General features: G+C 62.7%; 2 annotated features.

The window, feature by feature from the left end:
* Positions 4022 to 4201: a silencer, noted in NCBI's record as "silent region_6963". NCBI's record gives its function as "represses an Ori minimal core promoter by ATAC-STARR-seq in GM12878 lymphoblastoid cells {active_cell/tissue: GM12878}" and the evidence as "EXISTENCE:reporter gene assay evidence [ECO:0000049][PMID:35858748]".
* Positions 9640 to 10139: an enhancer, noted in NCBI's record as "H3K27ac-H3K4me1 hESC enhancer chr16:1113181-1113680 (GRCh37/hg19 assembly coordinates)". NCBI's record gives its function as "activates a minimal SCP1, AML or CMV promoter by ChIP-STARR-seq in naive H9 embryonic stem cells {active_cell/tissue: H9 hESC(naive)}" and the evidence as "EXISTENCE:reporter gene assay evidence [ECO:0000049][PMID:30033119]".

Below are 10210 nucleotides of genomic sequence, written 5' to 3' on the forward strand. Positions count from 1 at the left end.
CAGCAGGGGGGACTTTCAGGGGGTGGGCACCAGGCTGGGGTGGGCAGCTGGGGTGGGCCGGGGCTGCAGTGCTCTCCCACCCAGCCTTGGGCACAGGACGAGCCAGCCCCCACCTCTGTCCACTCAGCACTCCGCAGGGGCTGCTGTCTTGCTGAGTGCAGGACGCTGACCCCAGGATGTCACCATCTGATGCTGCCCAGGCTCTCCCCTCAGAATACCTGCTTAGTGACCACAGCCACCCCAGCCCCTCCCACTGACCCCAGGCAGAGCAAGGGGCCCCACCTGCACCCAGCAGGTGCAGACTGGGCAGGGCAGGGTCCCAGGAGGGTGCATGCTTGGGGAGCCCCCGCACGCAGACAGTGGGGGGCCAGGGAGGAGCCACGTGCTGGGCACAAGGCAGTTTCCGCAGGCCCCTTGCTGGGTCTGTCTCAGCACGGAGGGACCGGCAGCACACAGTAGGTGCTCAGCAAATGCCGGGGGGCGGGGATAAGCGAGCACCCACGGGGGGAAGCACTGGCTGCGGTTTCGCCACCTGCCTTGGCAGCACCCCCACCTAGGCCCTGGATGGGCGGCGACCACCGCCTCTCTGCTCCTGGGGCTCTGACTCCCAGCATCCGGCAGCCGGGGACCCGGCCTCCCCCAAGGCCTGGGAGCAGCCAAGTGGCCAGGTATCAAGTGGCAAACTCAGGCCAGGGTTGGGTGACGGCTTGGAGGGCCCCTGTGGCAGCTGAGCCCCGCTCCTCCTGGTCCTGCCCACCCTCCTGGTGCTGCCCACCCTCCTGGCCTGCACACCCTCCTGGCCTGCACACCCTCCTGGCCTGCACACCCTCCTGGCCTACCCAGGCTGCCACTGGCCCGAGGGTCCCAGTGAGGATGAGCCGGAGATGGACACTGAGGGGGTTGACGGGCCTGGGGCAGGCTGGCCGGGGCAGGGGGGCTGGGCCTGTCCAGCGGCCGCCTGCCCTCAGAAGAATGACACCCTGCTTTCTCCCCTGCCCGAGGAGGTGGGGTGAGGGTCAGACCCCAGCACCCATGTCTCTGTTTTTCTTTCTCCTGAAAAGCCTACAGACTCTCATCTGAATTGCTCCAGCAGAGCCCAGGCGGGGTACCACCCCCACCCACACACACAAAGGGCTGAGACAGTGCAGCCTGGCGTGTGAGCAGCCCTGGTGTCTCCAGGCTGGGGTGCTGTCCGCCTGCCCACCTGGCCACGGTCCCCAACAGCCGGTTCAGCAAAGGACAGGCAGACCCTACGGGCCAAGGATGCGCTGGCCTGGCCGGTGCGGGGCCAGGCGGGCAGCTTGCCAGGATTTGGGGATTTTGAGCCAGCTGCTGCAGCAGGTGTGGCCGGCCCAGCCAGGCAAGTCCTGCTGCCGGGAGGGTCGCCCACCAGCTGCTGGAGGGTGTGGGGCGGCCGGGCTGGCCACTCGCCGGCAGCAAAGCCAGCAGAGAGTGGGTGGGGCTGGGGGAGGCGGGAGGGTCCCAGTCCCACCCCCAGGGTCCAGCTTCCCTGGGCCCTGCAGCCAGGCCAGGAAGGTCAGCTGGGCTGGTTCTGGGCCCTAGGTCTTAGCCTGGAAACCAGGGGTTTCAATCTTGGCATGAGAAAGCCCTCGCCACAGGGCAGGAGGAGCCCCACATAGAACCCCCAACCCCTGTCCTCGGGCCTGAGCCTGGCAGGACTGGACGCCGGACACCGGCGCTGCTGGGAGCCTTGAGAACTGCACGTGTGCCCCCCAGTGGCCAGCGCCGGCCGTGCTCCGCCTGATTCTTCAGGCCCTGATGCGGGGTCCTGGGGCTCAGGGAGCCGAGGCCCGGGGTGGGGGCTGCACGGTGGTGTGGTCCTCTCAGATTGCAGGATCAGAGGGCAGTTCTGAAAGTCTCCTTGGTCAGGGAGCTGGTTTGCAGAGCTGAAGGGGAGGAGGGGGCCAGGAGGTTGCTTGCGGCCGTGGTCCTGAAAATCAGGCCCTGCCAAGGGTCTCTGAGGGCCAGCTGGGGAGGGAAGGGCACACAGTGTGTTCAGAGCAGGACCCCAGGGCGCTCGGGCTCAGCGCTTCTGGGGACAAAGGGAGATGGAGCAGAGGGGCCTCAGGGAGGCCCGCCCCGTGGTGGTATAAGAGCCACTGCGAACACCCTGCTTTGGTGAGGCTGCGCCCCAGGTGTTAACAGCCACACCCCAGCACACCAGGTGCAAGCCACTCTCCATAGGCCCCAGCCTGTTGCAGGAACCCTAAGCTCCAGGCCGGGAAGGAATGGGCAGGGCTGCCGTAGGGACTGTGGTCTTGCAGGACGAGGGTTTGTCAGGGGTGCTCAGGGGACAGCGGGCCGGGACGTGCTGGGGCTGCTGTAGGGACTGTGGCCTTGTGGGGTGAGGGTTGGTTGGGGTGCTGGGGCTGCTTTTGGGTGGCCAGGCCCTACCTGAGAGCCCGGCCATGGGACCCAAGGTCAGAGGGTGGCCGAGCTGAGGGTTGCCTGCTTTGGGGGGGTCCCTGGCCCCAAACCCATCTACCTGGGGGGCGGCACTGAGGCAGGTCCCCAAGGGCAGAAAGGGGAGTGACCTGGTAAAGGCAGCCCTGTGTTGCCCCTCCTCTCCCGTCCATGCCACGCACACCCCAATGAAACAAGAAATTTTCCTTGACCCCTTTGTGGGCCTGGTGACAGCGGTATCTTGCTTAGCCCAGAGCTCTCAACCCCTCGAGGCAGCAGGAGCACGCAGGTGGGCGGGTGCAGGAGCTGGAGTGAACACTTCTGGGCACAGCAGGAGCAGAACTCCGTGCAGTCCTGTGGCAGTGTCTAGGGCAGTGCCTGTGACCCGTGAAGCCTCAGAGGGTGTGTGTTACAGTGCTTTTAGCTTTGCTGTCCAAGGATGTCTGGAGTGTTTAACAGCTCAGTGGACCCTCTGCCTTTTCTCGAGGGCAGAGGGTCAGTGTGACAGCTTTCTGTATCCCAAGCTCTTGTCCAGCATCCAGGAAATATCAGGTTGCATGAAGAAATTGAAGGATAGTAAATGCAAGGGATTTTATGGCCGATGGAGGGAGGGGGACCTGGAAAGGGGGGTGGAGGGGGAAGGTGATGGAAGAGGCTCTCAGAGGGAGGGAGAGCTGGAGAGGGGGTGGAGGGGGAAGGTGATGGAAGAGGCTCTCAGAGGGAGGGGGAGCTGGAGAGGGGGTGGAGGGGGAAGGTGATGGAAGAGGCTGTCAGAGGGAGGGGAGCTGGAGAGGGGGTGGAGGGGGAAGGTGATGGACGAGGCTCTCACAGGGAGCGGGAGCTGGAGAGGGGGTGGAGGGGGAAGGTGGTGGAAGAGGCTCTCAGTGGGAGGGGGAGCTGGAGAGGGGGTGGAGGGGGAAGGTGATAGTCCCCTGAAGTCCTGCCGTCTCTACCAGACTCTTCTCCAAAGTCCTGCTGTCCAGCTGTCCCTCTGAGGTCACGCTGCTCCTCTCTGATGTCAAACTGCCATCTCCGATGGCCAGCTGCTTCTCCTCTCCTTGCCTGCTCTGTTCTCTGCCAATAAGGTCAGGAGTTTTTATGGGTACAGGATGGGGGTGGGGCGAGGCAGTGGTGGTTTTGGAAAAGGCAGCATTGGAGCAGGGAAACTGGAATGCGTGTTCTCACTCAGGGCTATGCTTCCAGGCTTGAGGGTGGGGTTCCTCAGGAACCCCATCTTTTTCTACCTAGAATTTCTGTCTCCTGTCCCTATCACTGAGGGCCCGTGAGGCTGACAGTACCCATCCCCAAAGAAGGATTGGCCTGGGCAGGGCTGTCAGGAGCACCAGGGCAGGGCCTGCCAATCCAGAGGTCCCCGAGGAACAGATTCAGGCCTGGGAACGGGCCCACGGCAGGGCTTTCCTGGAAATGCCTGGCAGAGTGGGCAGGGGACGTCATTGTGACCCCGTATTGCCGGGGACACCAGGCTCAGAGGGGCTGACTGACCAGCCAAGGCCGCACAACAGAGCTGCTGGGAGCGGGTCCCTGCCAGGCCGTGGGACACAGGGACCCCGGCTCTCGCTGCCTCTGCCCCAGCCCCAGTTCAGGACCCACTGTGGCTGTCACTGAGCTCCAGCCTCAGAGCCGCCCACCAAGCCCGACCTCACGCAGGGCCCACTGTGCCCACCAGAGGGCGCCAGAAGCCGGCGGTCCCGACACCGCGGTTCAAACGCAGGGACCGTCCGGTGGGGGCTGCTGCAACCCCCCCCCCGGCGTGTCCAGGCCCCTCCTCGAGGGTCCCCAGGGTCGGGGCCTGGTCGGGGAGAGAACCAGGTGTGGTGGAGCTGGGGAGTCCGGCGCTGGGCAGTGGGCGGCCTGTGCCTGGGGACCCCGGTGTCACCCGCCAGGTGGCAGGGAGGCTGGTCCCCTCCAGGAGCCCCCACTTTCTGAGGTGGCCCTAAGCCCCTGCTGCTGTCCCTTCTGCCCCACGCCCCATCCCCCTGTTTAATTCCCCCGACAGGGTCCGGGCAGGGACGAAGCAGGGTCCCCCCACCCTGGAGCTGGGAGGAGGGGGGTGGGGGCGTCACCAAGCATGGGGTCCAGGCAGATTCAGTTCATGGGGGACATGGGGGTCCCAGGGTGAGGACCCCTGGGGGGCTGGTCGGGGGGCGCTCAGAGCCCACGGAGAGCGGCCTGGTGGGGGAGGCCTTGCCAGCAGACCCTCCCTTCCCCCACCCGGAGTCCCGGCTCCCATCAGCCCCCACTTCCTGCTCAGTGTCCGGCCTCTGCCTGCCCCTGGTCAATGCTGCCATTTGTCTCTTCAGCCAAAGATCCCATGTCCACGTGACATGATCATGACAGGAGCTGTGGGGGGTCCCAGGGAGGCCGGCGCTGGGCTTGAACTTGCCCCGTGAAGGCCCCGAGCCCCCGGCTGCCGCATCCTGACTGCTTCGTGTGAAGGGAAGGGAGTCACAGCCACGCCACAAGAGAAGGGGCTGCTGCCTCCCCAACCCCCGCCCTCCCGTCTGCCCCAACCTGCCTGGGACCCCCCAGAGTCGGCTGGGGGCCTCAGCCCAGTCACCCAAGCTGCATCCTGCCCCAGGAAACCCCCACGGGCCCTGACCAGTGCCCACCAGGGTCCCCAGGACATTCTGGGGGCGGGAAGTGGGGGCAGGCTTTATGCCTGCATCTCATCTGCGAGCTTCCGGAGCCTCTTTGCACACTTCACAGGGCTGGAGGGGTTTTGTGTTTCAGACGGAGTCTCGCTCTGTTGCCCGGGCTGGAGTGCAGTGGTGTGATCTCGGCTCACTGCAAGCTCCGCCTCCCGGGTTCAAGGGACTCTCCTGCCTCAGCCTCCCAAGTAGCTGGGACTACAGGCACGTGCCACCACGCCTGGCTAATTTTTGTGTTTTCAGTAGAGATGGGGTTTCACCATGTTGGTCAGGCTGGTCTTGAACTCCTGACCCAAGCAATCTGCCTATCTCAGCCTCCCAGAGTGCTGGGATTACAGGCGTGAGCCACCACACCAGGCATGTTTTTGAGACAAGGCCTCGCTCTGTCCCCCACACTGGAGTGCAGTGGTGCCATCACGCCTCAAGGCAACCTCAAACTCCTGGGCTCAAGTGATCCTCCCACCTCAGCCTCCCCAGTAGCTGGGACTGCAGGTGTGTGCCACCATGCCCCACAAGTTTTTTAATTTTTTGTAGAGATTGGGGTCTCGCTATGTTGTCCAGGCTGGTCTCTTGAACTCCTGACCTCAAGTGATCCTCCCACCTTGGCCTCACAGAAAGTGCTGGGATTACAGGCGTGAGCCACTGCGCTCAGCCTAGGGTTAGAGGTTTTTTTTTGTTTTTTTTTTAATGTGTAGGTGTTTCCTGATGTCTCCCACCCTCTTTGTTGGGTCTGGGTCTCGATTCATTTTTCCGATGTTCTGAGCAGGGATTGGAGAGTGTCTTCAATGTGAAAACACTGGCCTTTCTGCAGCTTAGTTTCAGTCTCTTACCTGCTACTATATGGGGAGGCATCATCTGGGTGACTTCCTCAGGGCTGTCTTCCAACTCCCATATTCTCTTTTGGCCACATCTAATCTGCTATTGAAGCCATCAGCTGAGGTTTTTATACCAACAGCCATATTCCTCGTGTTAAAGGTCCTGTGTGGTTGTTTTTCTAATCTGCTGGGTCCTTTTCATGCTATTATATTGTTTTTCATTTCTACTTTTATCTCTTTAGTCATTTTAAACTCATGTATAATCTTTTTTTTTTTTTTTTGACAGATTCTCACTCTGTGGCCCAGGCTGGAGTGCAGTGGCGTGATCTTGGCTCACTGCAACCTCCACCTCCCAGGTTCAAGCCATTCTCCTGCTTCAGCTTCCCAAGTAGCTGGGATTACAGGCGCCCACCACCATGTCCCGCTAATTTTTTGTATTTTTAGTAGACATGGGGTTTCACCTTGTTGGCCAGGCTGGTCTCAAACTCCTGACCTCAAGTGATCTGCCCTCCTCAGCCTCCCAAAGTGCTAGGATTACAGGCGTGCGCCACCACGCCTGGCCTATAATCTCTTAATTGTTCTATTATTATTTCTGGTTCTTAAGATACTATTGACTGGGTGCAGTGGCTCACACCCGTAATCTTAGAACTCTGGGAGACCGAGGCAGGTGGACTGCTTGAGCCCAGGAGCTGGAGACAGCCTAGGCAAGCTGGTGAGACTCTTTCTACAAAAAAACAGAAAACGTTTATTGGACTTGGTGGCACTGCCTATAGTCCCAGCTACTTGGGAGGCTGAGGCAGGAGGATAACTTGAGCCTAGGGGTCCAAGGCTGCAGTGAGCTATGGTTGTGCCACTGTATTCCAGCCTGGGTGACAGAGCAAGACTTCATCTCTTTAAAAAAAAAATGGAACATTAAAAATTAGAAGATGGTGCCGTGTCTGCCAGTCCCTCGGGGTGTGAGCTCACCATTGCGGGCCATTTCTTCTATGGAGCCCAAGCCCCAGGGGGACATATCCCCACGGAGGGTGCATGTTTGCCTTTGCTGGAGCCTGGGTGGCCTCTAGGTCCTGGAACCAGACTCCATATCCCCCACCCCGCCCACTGGCTGCCAGTGGTGCCCCATCCGTGTCCTGGTGACAGAGGCAGCGCCCCGGGGGTACAGGCACCGGCGTCAGCTTTGAGTCTGAACCCCAGCCCGGCCCCAGTCAGCTGCATGGCTGAGGGTGGGTGGGGGATGCCCCTGCCTTGATCCCCCACATCCTCACCTATAGTGCAGCCTCACCTCCCTCACAGGAGTCGGAGGGCCACATGGGAAAACAGGCATGGTAGACGTAAAAGGCCCAGTGGAAATGCCGGTTCTCCTTGCTGCCATTACTGCATTTATCTGGCAACCCCGCACCACAACCCGAGACCTAGAAGACCCTATGCCCCAGGCGGGGCTGAACAGGACAGACCTCGAAGAGCCGGTCCCCAGATCGGACCGCCAACAACCAGGCCGGATTCCGCGCCTCCAGCCGGTCAGTGCCTTGGCAAGGCAGGAGCGGGTGAAACTCCCAGCCCTCCCAGGGAGCAGTCAGATGATGACACATCCACACCCGTCCACAGGGAGGGAGTGCGACAAGGCCTGTGGCTTTCTGCGCGAGAATCGGCCAGTGTCCTTTGGGGCCCGGGATGGGGTTTCAGCACCCACTCTCACTACCGGGGCTCGGGAGGGAGGGCTGGAGAGCCTCCATCTGGTGCCGTCGGTGGCCACTCCTCAGACAGCGCGGGCGGGTTCGCAGGCCCTGGGCAAATGTGGTGTTGCCACAGCCCCGCCCTACAGGGACAGCGGTCAGCAGCTGCCCCTGGCCCCGCCGTCCCTAATGAAGTTATAGATGGCAGCTCTTAAATGTCTCCAGAAATGGCAGAGAGGCTCCCAGAGCTGACGTGCAAATAAATTGCTTCTCAGGCTCGGACCACACAATTCTGCTGGGACCAAGCACAGGCCTGGGCCCTCCGGCTGCCCCTCAGGGCCTGGCTCTGCTGAGAGGAGGAAGCCTGGCTCTTGGGAGGGGGTCTCAGGTGCCCCCTCCATGGAGCCCAGCAACCTGGCAGGTGGGGGTGGGCACCGCCCCTCCCCCGGGACTCCATCTCCCCGGCAATCAGCTGCCTCTCCCTTCTCTGGGGCCCCAGGTGGTCCTCATGGAGGGGTGGGTGGGACTGAGGCCTGAGCCCCGGGGAGGAGCTGGCTGGTGAGCCATGTATCCCAGTGGTCACTGCGGCCAGCCGGGGAGGTTGAATCCCAGGCCCCAGCACTCAGAAGCTGGTGGAGTGGGTTGAATTGAGCCCCTCCAAAAACGTATGTCGAAGCCCTGACCCCGGGTACCTGCGAGCACTGGAAATGGGGTCTTTGTGAATGATCGAGTTAAGATGAGGTCGGACGGGGAGGGTCCCAAAAGCAACGACCGGCACCTTGTAAGGAGGCTGCTGACAGCAGGGAGAAGTCGGGCGCGTGACGTCAGAGGCAGAGACTGGAGAGAGGCAGCCCAGGAACACCACGGGTGGCTGGCAGTGCGGAGCGGTAGGGCCCTCCCCTGGAGGCTTCGGAGGGAGTGTGGCCCTGCGGACACCTCGATCTCAGGCTTGCGGCCCCAGGGCTGGAGGGGTCGCGTTTCCGTGGCTTTAGCTCCCAGTTCGTGGCTCTTTGTTATGGCAGCCCCGGGAGACTCACACAGGCGGTGACTGTGGACAGGACCCCTGACCTCCGGGCCACAGTTTCCCCACCGGCCCCTGCCACGGGGTAAATAGGTCTGGGGTGGTGCTTAGGCCGGGGAACTGCCCCAGCTGCCTGCCGTCCTTGCTGTGGCTGACGGGGTCGTCCCGGCTGCAGCTCCGGCCCTGGCTCCTTGAGGCCTCGCACCCTTCCTGGCACCCACTGGCTGGGCTCTCGGGGCCTCTGGTCACCCCGTGGGTGCTGATTGAATCGGGACAAACGCTGTGTGCAGCTAAGGGGTGACTCAAGGCCGGCCAGGCCCAGAGCTGATCCCAGGCCGGGAACAGCAGCAGTGATGGTGTCGGCATCCACCGTGTCCCTCCCAGGGCCCGGCCGTGGGAGCCGAGGGGACGTGTCTGTGGCCTCTGTGGTCTGAGTCTGGAGGTCAGCGCCCAGCGGTGTGGCACCTGGGCACCTCTGTCACCTGCCTGCAGCCAGTGTGTCCTCGTGGGGGGCAGCGAGGTGACCGGGTCTCTGTTGGGTGCCCCTGGAAGGCTCAGAGGCAAGGATCTTCAGGCAGAGAGTTTGGGGGTGGCCCCAGGAAACACCCGTCATTGAGGGGGTGCTGTGAAGGGAAGGGGTGGGTGCCAATGGGCAGTAGTGAGCAGGTCACCGCTGTGGGCAGACCCCAGGAGGCAGCACCCCGGAGCTGTCCCTACCATAGGGAAGTGGCCAGGCTGTAGTGGCTGTACCCCAGGGCATGGACTCACCACACTCCTGGCCGTTCCCACGCCCAGGCCAGGCCTCCTGTGGTCAGAGACGGCCAGAGTCACAGGGGTTGCAGGAAGTGGCCGCAGGCATGGTCAGGGGCAGGTGGCATCTGCTTCGAGGGCCTGCACGTGGCTTCCCTGCCCCGCCAGCCTCTGCCATGTGGGTCCCGGGAAATTGGCGCCCAATTCCATGAGCAGCCCTGGGCTCTGGGGCCTCAGATCCCCCAACGCTGCCGTGTCCGTAGGAGGTGCTCCGGGGCCTCAGATCTCCCAATGCTGTCGTGTCCGTGGGAGGTGCTGTGGGGGCCTCGGACCCCCCAACGCTGCCGTGTCCGTGGGAGGTGCTGTGGGGGCCTCAGATCCCCCAACGCTGCTGTGGCCATGGGAGGTGCTGTGGGCAGGGCTGACCCCGGGGCCCAGCTGGTTCCTCCCCGCCTAATGCTAGAGAAGGGAAGTGCTGAGTGTTTGAGGGGGATCAGCAGGGGAAGGGGGTACAGTCAGGCTCATGGGGTGACCAGGAGCAGAGACCCCACCCCACCAAAGCACACACACTGGCTGCGTCTGAGGGGAAAGGAGCCCAGGGAGGTGGATGAGGTGGGCAGGGGGTGCCCGTCGCTGGCCTGGACGCCTAGGGGGGCATCTTACTGTCTTTGGGGCTGGCAGGCTCCAGACCCCCTAAGCTCACGGTGCCAAACGTGACCCCCCATACTGGGCGGCAGCGGCTACAACTGTGAGGGGCAGGCAGTGGCTGCCTGGACGGGGACGTGCTTGTCCTTTGACGAGGAGTTTGCGCCTCATTCAAGTCCCCTACCTGCATCCCTGGCGGGGCATCTGCGGTCC

The sequence above is a fragment of the Homo sapiens genome, chromosome 16 (assembly GCF_000001405.40).
Source record: "Homo sapiens chromosome 16, GRCh38.p14 Primary Assembly".
NCBI classification, from domain to species: Eukaryota; Metazoa; Chordata; class Mammalia; order Primates; family Hominidae; genus Homo; species Homo sapiens.